The sequence below is a fragment of the Homo sapiens genome, chromosome 1 (genome assembly GCF_000001405.40).
Source record: "Homo sapiens chromosome 1, GRCh38.p14 Primary Assembly".
Classification (NCBI taxonomy): domain Eukaryota; kingdom Metazoa; phylum Chordata; class Mammalia; order Primates; family Hominidae; genus Homo; species Homo sapiens.
The window spans coordinates 859692-878866 of NC_000001.11; the positions used below are offsets into that span (position 1 = coordinate 859692).

Here is a 19175-nt window from a genome sequence, read left to right on the forward strand (position 1 = left end):
TCATCAATTAACCCATGAACAGTGTCTGCAAGTGCTCCTTGCCCCATACCTTCCACAATGTGGACTCTTATTGGAAGTATCTAAATTTCACTTCAGAATTGCAGCCCTGAGTTATTAAACACACCTCTACTACACCTATGAAATTGTCTACAAATTGTCTTAGTTTCTTTTCAGCTTTGATTTCTAGAATTGCATGACATTGAAGACAAATGATATAATACCCATAAAGAAGGTTTTATGACCTCTTTCATTATCTCCAACAATCAGAAAGGCAAATTCACAGTAGAGGGCTGAGAAATCTTATCTGAAAATTAACTAAAATGCTGCTTTTGTCAACAGAATTACTTGGGCTTCATTTCATTCCACAATTTCCTGTGTACTGTTTATTACAAGAAGAAAAAATTTCCTGCCATACAAAATGCTCCATGCAGGTAGAACCAGGAATCTAAAGAAACCTGAGGAAGGTGCTAGAATCATCACTACCATCTTTTTTTTTTTTTTTTTTTTTTTTTTTTTTTTTATGGAGACAGGGTCTTGCTCTTCACCCAGGCTGCAGTGCAGTGGTACAATCTTGGCTCACTACAACCTCCACCTCCAGGGGCTCAAGCGATCCTCCCACCTCAGCTTCCTGAGTAGCTGGGACCACAGGCAAACGCCACTGTGCCCAGCTAATTTTTAAACCTTTTTGTAGCAACAAGGTCTCACTATGTTGCCCAGGCTGGTCTTGGACTCCTGGGCTCAAACAATCGTCCCGCCTTGGCCTCCCAAAATGCTGGCATTCCAGGCAGGAGCCACTGTACCTGGCCCCACCTTCTTTTTGCTGTAGGCTGAGCACAGGAGAAGTTGAATTTATCAGGGAACCTAAAGACATGCCCTTCTTTGAAGGCAGAAGTCCTGTCCACGTCAAATGCCCTCCCTCCATCCCTCCCAGCTCCCTAGTCATCCTTCCTATTCTAGGCTCCAGGAGCGAGACCTCCTCCATGTGCCTGCTAACGTCAGTGCCACGGGCCCTCTTTGGTTCTCCTGCCCACCTTCTCTGACTCTGCCCAACACCCACGGGCCAGAGGCCCTTTTCCTTCTTGGCACTTCTCGGTGTTGTAGCAGGATGAGCCACGGACAAAACCCCTCAGACGCCGGGTTAAGGAATGATTTGGTTTTATTCGGCCAGGAGCTTCAGCGGACTCAAGTCTCAAGAACCGAACTCTCTGAAGACAGAGTTCCTGGCCCTTTTAAGGGTTTACAACCTTTAGGTTCCACGTGAAAGGGTCGTGATAGATTGAGAGCACATGCGTTTAGAGTGGGGTGGGGGGGTTAATCTTTTAACCTCAGGCCTGATCATCAGGGGCACCAGCTGGTCTTGCCACTGACTTCATTCCTGTTGTTTTTCAACTTTTACTTCCTCCTCCTCTTCAGACAGGAGACAGTAAGAGAAATGGCCTCTCTCCTCAGCGGCACAATGGACTTTAGACATCGCGCCTGTTTTGTACTCTCCAAGCCGGACTTCTCTACTCGCTGGCCTGGCGCTGATGCCCAGAGGCCCCCTGTGCTTGTGGTCGTGGCCTTAGACAGTTCCCTGCCCTTTGTAAGTACTAACTTAACTCTTGAATGTGGACGTTTTAAGCTGACTTTTCTTCTCAGCCCTCTGTAAGAGTTTCGAATCTCCCCATAGCAATCAATGTAATTGTTTTCACCCAGGGTGTTGGTCCTGGCTGCTTCGATTTTAAAGTAATCTCTCATTTTGCTGAGGAGAATTTATTAGAGTAAATGACTGTTTTCACCTGTCATGTCACATTAAAATGTGGAGAGAACTGGTTGTAGGGGCAGTCAAACTGGCTGTGAGACCCTTCGAGCAGCCATGCATCTCCTGGACAGCTCGAACACTGATCAGGGAGGAGATACTGAAAATAAGAAATAAGAATTGCCTTTATATGTGTGTATGAGTATAGACACATACATCATGTACATGTATGTGTGTATGTGCATATGTGTGCATGTGAAGATGGATAGATGATAGATACATAGGTGATTTATGTATAGGTAGATGACAGATATTGGTAATTAATTGATAGTAGATAGGTTGATAGTATATAGGTGATTGATAGATGGATGATAGATCATTGATAGATGATAGGTAGATAGTAGATAGATTATAGGTAGATAAATAGATGGATGATGGATGGATGATAGATACTTGATTGATAGATGATAGGTAGATAGTAGATAGATGATAGATAATGATAGATGATAGCTAGATAGTAGATAGATGTGATAGGTAGATGGTAGATAGAGATGATGATAGATGGATGATAGATGGATGGATGGATGATAGGTGATTGATAGATGGTAGATAGGTGGATGGTAGAGATGGTAGATAAATAGATGGATGATGGATGGATGATAGAGAGCTGATAGTAGATAAGGTAGATAGTAGATAGATGATAGATGGATGGATGATAGATGATTGATAGAGAGATAGAGAGAGAAGGATGATAGACTGAGCATCATAACTTCACTGAATGCTACCAGTTGGATTCAAAAGTCAGCAAACTGAAACGTCGAATTTCAGCCAGCTATCAGAAATATTGTAATCTGACAACAAAAGATAAACAAGGGAACATGGAAGTGGCAGCTATTCCAGAAGCTGCACCTCTCAGCATGGGCACAGAACCACAGAAGTGGAGCCAGAGTCCTCTCCACATCTCCTCTGGGTCGGCGTTATCATTGTCACAATGGGTGGAGGCTGGACCTTGTGAAGGCAAAGGCATACGGTGCTTTCTTGCTTCTGCTGTTTGGTGACTCCCTTACTCATTCCCTCTGCGGTGGCTGAGGGGCTGATGATCAGTTCCTCTGCCCAGAATGCCCTGACCATGCTGGGTGTCTGTCCTCCCTAGACCTGGGTCTGCAGGATGACAAGGACCCTGCAGCAGAAACTCCTCTGTCTCTTCCCTGAGCACCGTCTTCCATGCTGCCTGACTATGGTGCTGGTTCCCCTCTGATATGGAGATTGGTGGAGAATGACCAGGATATTTTATGTGGCAATGGGGGTTGAAGCCCACTTCAAAATGGCTTAGGATAAGTGACCAAAAGTCCCAGTGTGAGCATCAGGCATGGCTGGATCCAGGTGCTCAGCACCATCTGGAAATTTGTCTCCATCTTTGACTCTGCTGTCTCTGTGTGGGCTTCATTTCTAAGATGGTTTTCTCTGCACAGCTGTAACAAAGCTCAGGGCTTGCATGATGCTTTGCAGCCAGTACATCAGAGAGGACTTTCCCTCAAGACTTCTGGCAAAATTTGGGGTAACATGCTGTTCTTGCTGGGGTCAGGAGCCATCTTGCACCAATCTCAGAGGCCAGGGGATGGAGAACTCTCCTAGGGTAGTCCCAGGTTCTGTGCCTCCCCGGAAAACACAAGGTCGGAGCCTCCCCATCCAAATTAATGCTCAGACTGTCAGGGAGGAATGACTTCCAAAGAAAAACCAAGGGCCCTTATGAAGAAAAGGAAGGGGTGCACCTACAGTTGCCAGTTCTGTTTGGAAGTGAGGGAGGGGAGGGCAGATTCCCTTGGCTTGTTCCCTAGGACAGCTGTACTTAGGTTTTACTACACAGTCCACTGAAAATGCTTCTCTCATTAGTGTTGTGCCTCTCTCATGCCTCTTTCCTTGGATAAAGAGCAAGCACATTACGAGCCACACTTGGTGCTGGTGCTGTGGCATGCAACACTACCTAATGCGAGAGAAAGATGTGAGCAAATATCCGGAATATACAAATATAATACAAAAATACAAATATAATCAGTTATACAGCAAACAGCTGTGGGAACAGCAGCTCTGCTTGCAGGGTTGGGTAGTGGAAGGTTTCAGAGTTGATAGCATTTGGATTGGGCTTTAAGGTATGACTAGGAGCTTACCAGATAGAGAAGTGGTGTTTGGACGTTGTATGAGAAGGAAACACAATCTGAGAAGGTGTACCATCCTAAGTGAATCTGTCACAGAAGCGAGAAGATGCTGTGTAAACCGGAATAATGCTTGTGTGCATGGATCTTGATCCCTTCGTGAGCAATAAATGATTTTGTGAATAAATTGAAGAATGCTGAATTAGATCATAGGGTGTGTTTGCCGGGGTGGGGAGAGAGGAGAGCGTCGAAACTGGGGAAGTGGGGAACCAGAGATGGCAAAGCCTGGGACTTCCAGCTTCACCCACAGGACGCGAGGAGCCTCATCAGTATCACCCGCACAAGCAAGCTCCCATGAAGGCAGCGGTGTCCAGGCTCTGTCGCGTCCTTTCTTTGCAGCCTGGGCCTTGGTTTCTTGCAGGTGCTGTGCCCAAAGGTTAGATTGACAGATGTGGCCGTGTCTATCAGGGAACATGGACTGAGGCCAGTGCTTTCAACCATACTCACTTTTCACTGTGTTCAGAGGGGGTGGGAAATCTCCCCTAAGGAGGAGATACGACGTGTGCAGATTGAGAGCTGGGACCACACGGATTCCTCCAGGGGCAAGGGCTGGTGACCTTGCAGTAACTTCCAGAGGCCTCAGCACCCTCCTCTGCACAATGGTGGTGGGCTAGCCAGGGCACCACAGAAAGGGCCAGCAAGGCACACCCTCGTCTATTGCCCAGGCACACATGGGCATCCATGACAGCCATGCATGTGTTAGAGCCCGACCAGAGCTGCAGCCTCCTTTGGCTGAGGTTGGAAAAGCGGAGATGTGTTCACAGTTGGAGAATTGGTATGCCTTACCCAAGTGACATCCCTGTCCTTGGAAACTTATTCTGGGGTCACAGAATTAATTCCCCAGGATTGGGTGTCACGAGGAGGTGGTTCCTGTGGCTGAAAACCACCAACACCTCCTTTCCTGGAACATTTCCCTCCTGGCATAGGGCAGTTCTCATGCCAGAACATCTTGGGCCACAAAGAACCTTTAGGACTGAGCATGTCTTTCTGTTTGCTTTAAGCTTTTAAGAAAAAGAATATGCAAAGGCTGATTGAGGCAAAAATAACAGGCTATTTCTGACGTTCATTCAGAATGCCACCTAACTAGGCCAGTTTTTGGACTGTATGCCAGCCTCTTTCTGCGGGATGTAATCTCAATGTCTTTAAGTTCAGTCAGTCCTATAAATTGCTATCCCTATTCATGCAGTGTGTTTTCCCCTGTGTGAGGCATTTGTGAGTTCCATTAGCACTGATAGGACTTTTAAATGCAGAAGCAGCAGTGAAGGGAATGGCATTTCCCAGCTGTAGGGCACGGGCCTTCTTTGAGATAAAAACCCACCCTGGCATCGATGACATGGGAACTATTCTGTGTCTTTTCACCCGAGAGCTCTTCAATCAACTGATGATCGCACCTGCATAACTGCTACCAGACCTGCTAAGGGGGAGCCTGGCCCAGCCATCTCTTCTTTGTGGTCACAAGCATGAACGGCCCTGGGACATCCTCTTTCCTCACTGTCCCCTCACAGCATTTCCTGACCACTGTGGCCTTGGTCCCACCACCCACCTGTGCAGCTCATCTGGCCATGAACCTCTCCAGCTCACAACTCTGTTTTCTCCCTGTTGTTTCTATGAAACCAGGTTCCAGCCCCGCCACACAGTCTGCACGGCCTCCACCGCAGCTCTGGTGAGCCTCTTGGCCAGCTCCTGGTGACAGCGTGCACCTCCCTGCTCTGAGAAGGTCTCCCTCTCCTCTCTGCCCACCCTGTACAGAGACATCTTTCAAGCCCATCCCAGAGGAGAGTGGCCTCTCTCCTCAACCCCAAGAGGACGGCCTCTCATGTGGCTGTCACCCATCTGACCCCTATCACAGACCTGAGGGTAAGTGGTGCTCACGGGCCCACATCTGTCAGCCTGCGCCTGGTTGGAGACGCCTCCCTCTCATTTGTCCTTGCTTGCTGCGTGACTTTGGCAAGTGCTTGCCTCTTTGAGACCCTCAGTTTTCACACCTGAGAAATAGAAAGGTGGTGCCTGCCCCAGCTGCCACGCAGAAGAGTTTAGGTGGCATGTGAGAAAATGCCTTATGAACTACGATGTGAGCAACTGCAGCATGCTGTGAACACCGCTTTCATGAGCTCCTCAGGGGCAGGGTAACACCCAAGCATTCTTACACCTCCCACCGGGCTTGTCACGACCGTATGCAAATGAAGGCCATCAAGCGTGTTTGATCAGTGATGTATTTCTTTATTTTTAGTTGTAGAATATGACAACTCTATTTTTAGCAGCTATAGCGGCCAAAACTTTGTTACCACTCAGCAGTTGTGTGTTCTTCAAGAGTAGGTTTTGTGCTTTCAAAATATCTGAATCCTCTACCATTTACAGGTGTTCTGTGCATACTTGGTGTATGAGTTCCTCAGGAAGGAAGAAAAATGTGCCCTTTTTATCTTTTAAAAAGATGGCTTGGCTTGGTACTCCTTTGCCTGCATTCCTTCTCTGTATTTAGAAACGAACCTACACAAGTGAAGGCAAAGGAAGCCTCTTGAAAGATAAGGCAGGAAAAATGAGGATAGAAAACAAAACCCTTCTAGAGAGTTTACGTGGAGGCTACCACGGGCATCGCTGCTCTGCAGTCTGTCAACCAGAGGCCCCTGGTGCTGCAGCACGGCCTTGGCAGCTTCACCAACAGGAATGTGTTCTCCTAGGGTACTGGAGGGTGGCAGTCCCAGAGCAAGGTGTGGCAGGGCTGCTCCTCCTGAGGCCTCTCCCTGGCTTGCAGACGACATCTTCTCCCATGTTCTCATGTGGGCCTCCCTCTGCACACGTATATCTGACATCCTCCCATGTCCTCACACGTTCCTCCCTTTGCACTCGAATCCCGGACATCCTCCTATGTCTCACGTGGTCCTCTCTCTGCACTCGAATCCCAGACATCCTCCTATGTCCTCACATGGTCCTCCCCCTGCACTCACATCCCTGACGTCCTCCCGTGCCCTCACGTGGTCCTCCCTCTGCACTCACATCCCTGACGTCCTCCCGTGCCCTCACGTGGTCCTCCCCCTGCACTCACATCCCTGACGTCCTCCCGAGCCCTCACGTGGTCCTCCCTCTGCACTCACATCCCTGACGTCCTCCCGTGCCCTCACGTGGTCCTCCCCCTGCACTCACATCCCTGACGTCCTCCCGAGCCCTCACGTGGTCCTCCCCCTGCACTCACATCCCTGACGTCCTCCCGAGCCCTCACGTGGTCCTCCCCCTGCACTCACATCCCTGACGTCCTCCCGAGCCCTCACGTGGTCCTCCCTCTGCACTCACATCCCTGACGTCCTCCCGAGCCCTCACGTGGTCCTCCCCCTGCACTCACATCCCTGACATCCTCCCGTGCTCTCACGTGGTCCTCCCCCTGCACTCACATCCCTGACGTCCTCCCGTGCCCTCACATGGTCCTCCCCCTGCACTTGCATCCATGACGTCCTCCCATGCCCTCACGTGGTCCTCCCCCTGCACTCACATCCCTGACGTCCTCCCGTGCTCTCACGTGGTCTTCCCCCTGCACCTGCATCCATGACGTCCTCCCAACAGTGAGCACGATATGTTATTGGGGTGGGTGTGGGATAAATAAGGTATACCAGGTGAGAATAATAAGAAACTCAACTTTAAAAGACGGTGCTGATTTGGACTGTGGAGAGATTCAACTGCCCTGCTTAGCATTTGAGATTGTGATGGATGAACTAATTAAGAGCCCAAAATGAAAGCTTGGGATAAATATCTGAGGGTGTCTAATATCCCAATTTTTCATCCTAGAGTGGGCAGAGTCCTTGACCGCATTCTAGGGAGACTTCCAAAAGAAAAAAGACCTGCATTTCTTCAACAACCCACACTGAGAGACTTTCCTGCACTTCTGACCTGTGGCTAACACTCCTCACCGTTCATTCTGTCATCAGTGTTTTGGGGAAGCACCTTTAACTCTCTGTGATTTACAGGTTATTAAGTGGCCCTTACAATTCCCTCCAGAGATGGAAAAGACATGATGATGGTGTCTGAGCTCACAGCAGCAAGCAGGCGTGTGTGCTCAGCAGCCACGTGGCTCATCTGCTGGGAGCTTGCTAAATACGATGTTCTACAACATTGCCTAACACAAGGGGAGACGCTCCTGACTCAGAGTGTTTAATTGCTCACCTACTTCTTTTTCTGCCCTCTTGGGCTTCTGAAATGAAAAGAACCCTGGGGTGATACAGTGAGTCAAAGGGGTGCCAGCTGCATCACAGCAAAATAGATTCCTAAAAAATCCCTGGCCTAAGATGATACCCTTGGCTGGATAAGTTTGAATGTGCTCATAGTGGACATGGTAGAATGAAGGTGGTTGAAATGTTCACATTAAAGAACTTCCACCCAGATTGCAAGAAAAGAGAGAAGAATGGAGACGGCAGCACGAGTCCCTACAATAAAAGCAGATGTTTTGAGATCAGTTATATTTCTTCTGACAAAAATTAAAGACAGAAACCAAAGTTTAGCCTGAGGCTACAATTAATTGGGCAATAAGCCAGAGGCACATATGGCATAGACAGATTTAAACATTTCTCCCTGATATTAATACAAATACTAAAATTACAAATACTTTGATTCCAAATAAAACAAATATTTAAAAAATTTAATGAATAAACACTGGGGTCTACAGTAGTATTTGAAGGACAGCTCACAAACAGGTTTGGTTTTTGAAGGTTAGAACTGGTGGTCTAGAGAATTCATTTCATTCCAGAGAGAGAAAGAGAGGAATTTCTTGGGTTCCTTCAGGAATGCGTCTAGCTTTGCCTCATCTTTGTTTGAACTATGGATACGGCAGAAGAAAACATGAGGATTTCACAGATTTAAGGTGCAAAAAGTCACTGGGTTCTCTAAGAAGTCTGGGATTCTTCTGCTGGAAAAATAAGTTTGTTGAGAAAAAATGAGTTGGAGGAGGCTGTTATTGAAGTGAAGCAGAATTGTTTTTACTAATCTGCTTATTACCCACTCTGTAGTATGGAAACAAATTATTCATGCACAAGGTCCTCTTGCTGTTCCTAGAATGCAGTGGAAAGAGAACAGATTAGTTTTCCTCCCTCAGAACACAATCCCTAGAGACAACCTACCTCAGATGAGATATTGCCTAATTATTTTCAAAAGACAGTGAAACATCATGGATGTAAATGTTTGCTGCAAAATAAATACATGCTAGAAACAGAAGCATCTGGGTCACAGCTATATTAGAGCTGCCTGTGTTCCCCTGTCACTGAGATTAAAACAAAAATGTCCAATACAATCATTCACAGCATGGGAGAGGGGAAGATGAAGGATGGAAAGGCCAGGCATAAAAGGATTTCAGAATTTCGGTCCATAAGGAAGTGGCTTTGTGCATTGTCTGTTACTATGTGCAAGGTGAAGTTTGAAGAATGAAAACGTGCAGTAACAAAGGCTGCTTTGTCCATCTCACCTCCCCAGATACCAAGTTTCAGACATGTTGCATTTTAATTGAAAGGTTGATATAATTTTTTAAAAGAACACTTGTGGTGTTTGAAGTGACAAAGGCTGCTGTGACAAAAAAGCAGGGAAAGGGAATTTAAAAAAAAAAAAGCAAACAACAACAACAAAAACCCCACAGAAAAGCAAACAACAAACAAACAAAAAACAGAGGAAGAAGTCAAACACCCTGGGCTGTGGCTACTTCCAGGAAGGGGCTACAAGAGGCAGTTGGAAATTCTATTTGTTTTGCAACTGTGGGTTTTCCGGCCTGCTTCCTTTCTAAAGTATATTACTCTGCTTTTGGTTCATGAAGTTATCCATTTCTGTTTTCTGGAACAGCTATGTATTTATCTATCATCTATCTATCTACCTGCCTATCATCTATCTATCTATTTACTATCTATCTTTTCTACCTTTCGCCATCAAGAGCTTCAACACCTGGACACATTCCGCAAAGTTTCCTAAGAAAGCAAGAAAAATAATTAAAAAAAAAAATCCGGAGTCCGGGGGGCTAATGGGGCTTTACTGGGACTCTCTGGCTTAATCCTCCAAACAACCCTGCCATAGCAGCCCATCAGTCCTCTGAGACAGGTGAGGAAACTGAGGTCGCAGGAGGGCACCCAGAAGGTCCAGGCAGAGCCCCCAGGCCCCCACACCTCCCCCCGTGGCAGCTCCAACCCCAGCTTTTTCACTAGTAAGGCACTCGCGCTGCTGGGCCACGCCCACTCCCCCACGCGGGGAAGGAGCTTCGCGCTGCCGCCTGGCTGGGGACTGGGCACGCCCTCCCGCGGCTCCGGAGCCGGCTGCCACCAGGGGGCGCGCCCGCGGTGTCCGGGAGCCTGGCGGCGCCTGTGCAGCGGCCAGTGCACCTGCTCCTGCCCTCGCCTCGGTCTCTGCCAGGACCCCGACGCCCAGCCGGACCCTGCCCTCCAGCGGGGCCGCGGCTCCACGGCCCGCAACAGCAGCCCCACCCGGCATTCGGCGCGCTCCGCGGGGCAGAGGTCGCGGTGTCCTCAGGCTGTGGCGCCGGCCTACAACCCCCACGCCGGGCCCGGGCCCCGTGATTATATTTGGGCCCCGTGTGATTATATTTGACAGGTCTTAGTTGACGCGCTGTTCAGCGCTTTGAGTTCGGCTGAGTTTTGGGTTGGAGAATTTTCTTCCACAGGGGATTGTCTTGGATTTTTCTATTTCTCCCTCAGTATCCACCTGGAAAACATTTCAATTAATTTATATTCACTTAAACATTTCCGTGCAAAAACTGTGTACAAAAGCCCCAAAGTATAATTTGCGCAGTTGAGCACATGTTCTGTTGTCCAGCATTTATGGTGGTTTGTAGTGGAAAAGATTTTTAGAATATGTGGATTTTTGGGATATTCCCAGAAGCCCAGATGGCCACACTTTAACTTTGGAGGAATTAATTCTCAGAATATTGCACACAATCAATCGCCTTTGGAAGGAGCATATATTCCCAGCAAAAGCTCTGGTTTTTTGAAGTCTGTGTTGTGTGTTATTTCCAGGAGAATATGCAATGATGACAATGTTATTAACTGATTCGAATATGAAATGCTGTTATGCCAAACAATGAATCTTTGTGTTACACATTATGCCTAACTATAAATCTTCGTGTTATACATTTTAATGTCATTGGAGAGTACTCCTGTCTTCTTGGCATTATTGATAATTCGATTCTAATTGCTAATAAGTCAGAAAAATTAGGAACACCAAATTTCAGTCGTCTCAAAAGCACTCCTCTTATTAAATTTGGATTTTTACCTTTATCACATCAAAAGAAATATTGTTAGAAAGGTGTTTAATGTTTTCCAGATGGTTAGATTACTGTTATTAGTTCTGATTTCATTGTTAATTTTTAAAACCATAGAGTTGGAAGTATCAATATGCCTTTCAATATACCTTAGTGGAATTTATTAAATTTTCATGGATGTCCTTTAGGAGGTTCAGGAAGTTATTTCTATTGCTAGATTTCTGGAAGATTTATCAGGAATGAGTGTCAGACATTGTCAGACGTCCATTGAAATCATCATGGTCTTTTCCTTTATTCTATTAATATGGTGTATTACACTGATTTTTAGATTTGTATTGGTAGGATAATTCCACTTGGTTATATTGTCTAACTTTTTTCTAATTTTCTTTAATTTTTATTAGAGATGAGGCCTCACTCTGTCACCCAGGTTGGGGTGGAGTGGCACAGTCACAGCTCACTATAACCTCAAACTCCTGGGCTCAAGTGATCCTGCCACCTCAGCCTCCTAAGTAGCTGGCACTACAGGTGTGCACCACCATGCCAGGCTTATCTAACATTTTTATGTGTTGCTTCTTCCAGTTTACTAGAGTTTTTGGAGATTTCTGTCTTCATTCATGAGGGATAATAGTCTGCACATTTATTTTCTTGTGATGCTTTTGTCTGATTTGTTATCTGGGTAATACTGGCCTCAAAAATGAATTGAGGTTTTCCTGCTTCTCTGCTTTGCAAGTGTTTGTGAAGGATTGGTTATTCATTAAGTGTTTAATAGAATTCACTAGTGAAGCTTTGTGAGCCTGGGCTAGACTGATGAAGAGTTTTCATTAGTCTAATCTGTTTACTTGCTGTATGAGTATGCATATATTCTCTTTCTTCTTGGTTTACTTTTACAATTTCTGTATAGCAGGGAATTTGTTTCTAATTTGTAGTATTTCATGCTTCTAGGTTTTCATGGCAGTTGAGATGTAAGAATAAAAATAATGTTGGGAGAAAGAAGTTGTGGACAATCTGTGAATATCCCAACATCTGTTGTAGGAAGGTTAAGATTTTTTTTTTTTTTTTGCTGTACTTAACTGAATACTCATATTTATAGTGTGAGACAAATGTAATGTTGTGTATAAATAGAACTAGGAAAATGTCTTAGTATTTAATCGAGATGGAAGTCTGGGCCTACCTCCTCTCTTTTATTAATATGTAGACAGGACACCAACACAAATTTGAATGAGGACAAATAAAATGTTAGCAAATGAAGAATGGTATGAATTGGTTAAAATGTGATGAAATAGAGTGGTGAATATTTACATAGAATCCATGATGTGTTAGGTGCTATTTCAAGCTATTTGCACATATAGTTTTAATACCAGTGACATTAAGATGTATAACACAAAGATTCATATAAATAAAAATTACAACATTGAAAATAATATTAGATGACACTAAAACTATCGTAGAAATACACATTTATATAAAACAAAGTAACATCAAGTATTAAATAAATTTTAGAAACTTTGATTACTAATCAGATGAATAAGTGATTAGCCTTTTAATCCAGTAAACAAGGCATACATATTATTTTCAAATTCCAGAGACAAATATTTTAAATATTGAAGTCTAAGACCTAAAAATGTGTCCTGTAACTCTGGGGGAGGGGGTTTCATTTGTTCCACCTGCAGTGAGGTCTGTTAGCCCGTCTCAGGTTTGACTCCTGACTTAATTCCTAACAGGGGAAGCTGCTGTCCTGTAACTCTGGGGGAGGGGGTTTCATTTGCTCCACCTGCAGCGAGGTTAGCCCGTCTCAGGTTTGACTCCTGACTTAATTCCTAACAGGGGAAGCTGCTGTCCTGTGACTCTGGAGAAGGGGGTTTCATTTGCTCCACCTGCAGTGAGGTCTGTTAGCCCATCTCAGGTTTGACTCCTGACTTAATTCCTAACAGGGGAAGCTGCTGTCCTGTAACTCTGGGGGAGGGGGTTTCATTTGCTCCACCTGCAGCGAGGTTAGCCCATCTCAGGTTTGACTCCTGACTTAATTCCTAACAGGGGAAGCTGCTGTCCTGTGACTCTGGAGAAGGGGGTTTCATTTGCTCCACCTGCAGCGAGGTCTGTTAGCCCATCTCAGGTTTGACTCCTGACTTAATTCCTAACAGGGGAAGCTGCTGTCCTGTAACTCTGGGGGAGGGGGTTTCATTTGCTCCACCTGCAGCGAGGTTAGCCCGTCTCAGGTTTGACTCCTGACTTAATTTCTAACAGGGGAAGCTGCTGTCCTGTAACTCCGGGGGAGGGGGTTTCATTTGCTCCACCTGCAGGGCGAATGGTGCTCTCACCTCACACGTGACACTTGGTCCTTTTTGCATTATGGTGGTGACCACTGATGACCGTATACCTGGCCGTGGAGTGACTGGCTGTACTGTCTTACAGGTCAGTGTGGGGCCAGAAAAAACTGGGCCAAGGGACACTACACAGAAGGCACCGAGCTGATGGAGTCAGTGATGTACGTTGTCAGAAAGGAGGCTGAGAGCTGTAACTGCCTGCAGGGTTTCCAGCTGACCCACTCCCTGGGTTGGGGGACTGGGTCTGGGATGGGTACCCTTCTCATTAGTAAGATCCGGGAGGAGTACCCAGACAGGATCATAAACACATTCAGCGTCCTGCCCTCGCCCAAGGTGTCGGACACCGTGGTGGAGCCCTACAACGCCACCCTCTCAGTCCACCAGCTCATAGAAAATGTGGATGAGACCTTCTGCATAGATAACGAAGCGCTATATGACATATGTTCCAGGACCCTAAAACTGCCCACACCCACCTATGGTGACCTGAACCACCTGGTGTCTGCTACCATGAGTGGGGTCACCACGTGCCTGCGCTTCCCGGGCCAGCTGAACGCTGACCTGCGGAAGCTGGCCGTGAACATGGTCCCGTTTCCCCGGCTGCATTTCTTCATGCCCGGCTTTGCCCCACTGACCAGCCAGGGCAGCCAGCAGTACCGGGCCTTGACTGTGGCTGAGCTCACCCAGCAGATGTTTGATGCTAAGAACATGATGGCTGCCCGTGACCCCCGTCACGGCCGCTACCTAACGGCGGCTGCCATTTTCCAGGGTCGCATGCCCATGAGGGAGGTGGATGAACAAATGTTCAACATTCAAAATAAGAACAGCAGCTACTTTGCTGACTGGCTCCCCAACAACTTAAAAACTGCCGTCTGTGACATCCCACCCCGGGAGCTAAAAATGTCAGTCACCTTCATTGGGAATAATACGGCCATCCAGGAACTCTTCAAGCGTGTCTCAGAGCAGTTTACAGCAATGTTCAGGCGCAAGGCCTTCCTCCATTGGTACACGGGCGAGGGCATGGAAGAGATGGAATTCACCGAGGCCGAGAGCAACATGAACGACCTGGTGTCTGAATATCAGCAATATCAGGATGCCACGGCTGAGGAGGAGGAGTTTGAGGAGTATGCTGAGGAGGAGGTGGCCTAGAATTTTCCTTTTCTAGGTAAAGGGGGGAAGCAGCGTGGATTCTTAACTGTTCTGACAGCCATGTGTCTCTAAGCACTTATTCATTTGTGTCTTCACCTCTCCTCCTGCTGCATTTTAAAGCACTTTTATAGTATGCAGTTTTGCCTAATATTTTCACAGCATCTGGTTTCACCTCCAACTTCTTTCCATGGGCCCTCCGGCTACTGCTGCCAGATGTGCATAGTTGTCCTGCAAGGCTGAAGCTGTCTGGGTTTATCACATGCCCAGGAACAAGCATTCCAGTGGCTCTAGGAGGGGTCGGCATGGGTTGTGGACATGGCAGGCAGGTGCCACATGAACTTGGGGATGCCCTGGGCCTTGGGCAGCGACGTGGTGGAAAACCTGTTCCTGAAGGCAAGCCTTGGCTTATCCCATGTGCCAAACTTCTAGGGGACCAGCTGGCCCTCTGTTTCTGGAATTTTAAAAGGGGTCAGTGACCCTGGTGGACAATGTCCCCAAAGTCTCATCTCAGGGTAGGAATGTGGTCAGACAGCTGGCTCTGAACCAGCAAGGAAGGGTGGGCAAGTAGGACCCCAGGCACTCCATCACCACGATGGCCTGGGTGTGTTTGTGTGGCCTCATTCTCTTCACCAGGTGGGCATGGGGTATCTGGCAGGGACTAGGCAGGAATCAAGCCCGGTGTATACTCACATGCACTGAACCCTATGTAGAAGGGATTAGGTCCTGGGGGCCATAGATGGCGGTTGCTGGGCCTGTGTGCTCGGGGCAGTCTCTCCAAAGGCACAGATGGGGTTTCTGAACAGGACCTGGGGAGACAGGCAGGTGCTCACAAGTGCTGCTTCCCCCAACTGGCAACCAGTGAGGAAAAACGCCCGAGTGGAGGTCTGACCTGCCCCACTCTGGAGGGCTGATGCTCTCTGGAAAGGTGGGTGATGTGCAGTGTCTGCTGTCTCCCTGTCCCCCACTCCAAAACTTCAGGGAAAAAATAATCCAAGATTGTCAGGATGAGCCTGGTGAGGGTGGCACCTTTGGGGATAGGCCCTTCAGCCTGGCAGAGTCTCCTCCCCAGGCTTCTTGGGGAGCCTGGACTGCAAAGCCTGCTTTGGGGAAGCTGTCAAATGAGAGCTGTGTGTGTGAGCTGGGTGCTGGGCAACACGCACGGACAGTGTTCTTCTCCCTGGCTCTTGTAGAACTTGTCCATGGCCTGTGTGTTGGTCTCTTGGTAATTCCCACCCTACCCCCATCACACAGATAAGATGAAGCCAGCATAGCCCAGGGGTGGGGAGATGAACAGGCGCTACCCCAGGTCCCCTAGGCATGCCCATCTGCCTCTGACATGTCCGGGAAAGCAGGTGAGGCCCCTTCTTGTTCTCTGAATGTTGTCAATGGTCTATTGCAGCCAAATGGGGACAGGCAGGCAGGAGAGTGTCTCATCTCGAAAGAAGTGGTTCCTGGAAGCAGCTGGGAGGTGGGAGAGGTTCCCCAAACTCCCCCATACTCCCCCATACTCCCCCACATTCCCTCACACTCCCCCACGCTCCCCCACGCTCGCCCACGCTCGCCCACGCTCCTCCCCCACACTCTCCCACACTCCCCCACACTCCCCCACACTCCCCCACGCTCCTCCCCCACACTCTCCCACACTCCCCCACACTCCCCCACACTCCCCCATACTCCCCCATACTCCCCCATACTCCCCCACACTCCCCCACACTCCCCCACACTCCCCCATACTCGCCCACACTCCCCCACACCCCACACTCGCCCACACTCGCCCACACTCCCCCACACTCGCCCATACTCGCCCACACTCCCCCACACCCCACACTCGCCCACACTCGCCCACACTCGCCCACACTCGCCCACACTCCCCCACACTCGCCCACACTCCCCCACACTCGCCCACACTCGCCCACACTCCCCCACACTCCCTCACAGTCGCCCACACTCCCCCACACTCCCCCACACTCCCCCACACTCGCCCACACTCCCCCACGCTCCCCCATACTCGCCCACGCTCCCCCATACTCGCCCACGCTCCCCCACGCTCCCCCATACTCCCCCACACTCCCCCATACTCCCCCAAACTGTTCTCAGGTTAGGAAAAGGGGCCTCTGTGACAGCCCCACTCAGTGGCTCTCACTGTCTGAGGGGTGTCCTTGCCCAACCCAGGTGCGCACCCATCTGAGATGGCCTTGCATGGACCTGGTTGGGAAGGTTCAGCTACAGCAACCACTGGAACCTGCCCACACCTAGTGTCTCCACTCACACGTGGGGCTAGATGTTCCTCCCTCCCGTAGTGGCACAGCCAGTGGCAGAGGGGGCAAGTCACCGCTGCAGTTCCCACTTGAGTCTGAGGGGGGATCAGGCTTAGTGCCCATGTATTTCCCAATTACCTGGTTCCATCTGGGGGCTTCATGGACAGGAGTGGTGCTTTTCCAGGCCTCTTTTCCATATGCCAGCTACAGGCCCAGGTTTCCAAGTTTCTGGAGCCCCTCTTCCAGCCTGGCAAGCATGGCGTGTTGTAGGGGAAGGACATGAAGCCTACAGGCAGCAGAACCTGTCTGGGTATGTTCTCTACCCCTGGAGGCCCCTGGTTGTTTACCTCTTGGGTGAGAGTCGGCTTAGGATCTCAACATTCTTGTAGGACTTCAGAACTGTGCCGACAGGGGCCCAGGAAGGAGCAGAGGCTGGGGCTGGCAGCTAACCAGTGTAGTGGGAGTTGTAGGGCTCAGTTTGGTCTTGCAGGGAATTCAGGGAGGCTTGGATTTGCTGAAGCTCTAGATGAGCTTGGGCTTGGATATGGAAACGGCATGGAGCCAGGGCCCTTCTGCACACTGGGGTCTGAGTAGTTGCACTCTGGTGCATCCATAGGTGTTCCCCACCTGGAGCACAGCTGTGGATAGAAGCCGGGAGAGCTGTGGAGGGAAGAGGAGGAGGAGGGAGTCTCGGGGCAGCCCCAGCTGCCAGGCAGGGCCTCTGCAAGTGAGATGCAGATCCAGCCTGTTGGCCACTTAGCACTTGCTTGGCCGCCTGCAGATCACCTGACCTCTGCTCACCTGTAAATGGGGGTTGCAGCAGCACTTACCTTCTGGGACTCCTGCAGCTTGAAGGGGCAGCACACACCACATGCTGAGAAGGCGCCTAACTCAGGCAAGCTTCTCCAACAGCACCACATCAGATTAACATCCAACCTGTACAGGACATCAAATCTCCCCATCCCTCATTCCAATGGAAGAAAAGGGAGTCTCTGTCCTAGGGGAGCAAGCACAGGCCTATCTATGCAGTTGGCAGTTGGCACTTGACCCAGGTTGGGGAAAGGCCCTTGGATACATGCTGGTTTCACCAACCATCTGTGGGTTGGGTTTGGCCTGGACCCATGTACCCCAGGAGGCCAGCAGCCCCCTGCATGGGACAGGACTGGGAGGTGTGTGGGAGGGCTGAGCTTTGAGGGAAGCCATTATTTGGCCTCATGGGAAGTGGTGCAGGTGGTTGTTGGTGGCTCAGTTTTGCAGGGCCTGGGTGATCACCCAAGGAGTGAAAATTGCCTTTTTATGAGAAATTGCCAAAACTGATGCAAGCTCATCCGTTGAAAAGGTGAGTAATGCTGGCAGTTGGCTTCACCTGCCCCTTCCCCACAAGTAACTGGTGTTCAGAGGTGGATTTGGTTCCTTCCCAGCCTTTCCCGTTTGCATGTAGCTGTGTGCATGTACTTTTGTGTGTACACACACATTCCCTGGAGGGGTTACTTTTATTTTTTTATTTGGGGGGATAACTAGTGAGGCAGCCTGACACTTTCTTATCTTGTCTTTTAAGTGTGGAGTCCTCTATGGAGTGGGCATCAGGTACTTCCTAGCTGGCCTCTGCCAGCTGTTTGGCTGCCCCAGTTTCTGCCCTTCACAGACATGCCAGCCACCTGCTGTGACATTCAGTGGCCTTGTTTGCAGCTAGTGTGATGAGACAAGTGGATCAGGTACATTATAAACTGAAAAAGCACACGACATGCAGAGGGAAAGGGTAAATGACCATGTGTGTCCTGCTCGGCTGAAGTCCACATCACATGACTGAGATGACATTTTTTCACCTAACATTTGGGCCCTGAGAAACGGCATCTATGTTTTACTTTTTATTTATGACAGAGTTAGAAGAAATACTACCAGGCTTTCTTTTCCATTTTCCCCAACTCCCTCTTTACCCCCTCAAGTTTACCTACCTCAGAGAGAAAGCGGAGCTCGCCTGGTTAATGACAGCCTGAAATTATTTGAGTCAGGTCACTGTGTAAAGGTCATACTGCTTCTGTCTCCTTGTGCATCACCTGCGCAGCTCAGATATTTCATGGCTCCCTGTATACAGGTAGCTGTGTTACCCTCCTAGCCGCTTTCTTGGTTTGATACATGCCTGGGAGCATGTGGGAGCAGTTAAGGTCTAGGCTCATGGGAGGACAGTTCTGCCCACCCCAGCTCATCTCTCCAGCTCAGCCTGCATACCTGCCTTCCTCCATCTGATTCCAGAGTAGG

General features: G+C 48.8%; 2 long non-coding RNA genes and 1 pseudogene across 3 annotated transcripts, besides 2 other annotated features; 2 read left to right on the plus strand and 1 right to left on the minus strand.

Annotated features, from left to right (window-relative positions):
* The first annotated feature begins 490 nt into the window (after positions 1 to 490).
* LOC107984850 (uncharacterized) lies at positions 491 to 8511 on the plus strand. 2 transcript variants are annotated; one of them, XR_001737608.3, is made up of 3 exons: positions 536 to 1582; positions 5569 to 5808; positions 7729 to 8511. It is a non-coding gene; the product is annotated as an uncharacterized LOC107984850 (long non-coding RNA). The 2 variants fall into 2 exon arrangements; XR_001737607.3 differs by lacking the exon at positions 7729 to 8511 and having other exon boundaries at positions 491 to 1582; positions 5569 to 6150.
* Positions 7190 to 7689: an enhancer, noted in NCBI's record as "H3K4me1 hESC enhancer chr1:802261-802760 (GRCh37/hg19 assembly coordinates)". NCBI's record gives its function as "activates a minimal SCP1, AML or CMV promoter by ChIP-STARR-seq in naive H9 embryonic stem cells {active_cell/tissue: H9 hESC(naive)}" and the evidence as "EXISTENCE:reporter gene assay evidence [ECO:0000049][PMID:30033119]".
* On the minus strand, positions 8380 to 17111 carry FAM41C (family with sequence similarity 41 member C). The gene is made up of 3 exons (NR_027055.1): positions 17055 to 17111; positions 14421 to 15464; positions 8380 to 8984 (listed from the first exon to the last, which is right to left on the minus strand). It is a non-coding gene; the product is annotated as a family with sequence similarity 41 member C (long non-coding RNA).
* Positions 10104 to 10513: a silencer, noted in NCBI's record as "silent region_2". NCBI's record gives its function as "represses an Ori minimal core promoter by ATAC-STARR-seq in GM12878 lymphoblastoid cells {active_cell/tissue: GM12878}" and the evidence as "EXISTENCE:reporter gene assay evidence [ECO:0000049][PMID:35858748]".
* TUBB8P11 (tubulin beta 8 class VIII pseudogene 11) lies at positions 13600 to 14823 on the plus strand (annotated as a pseudogene).
* Positions 17112 to 19175: the final 2064 nt, after the last annotated feature.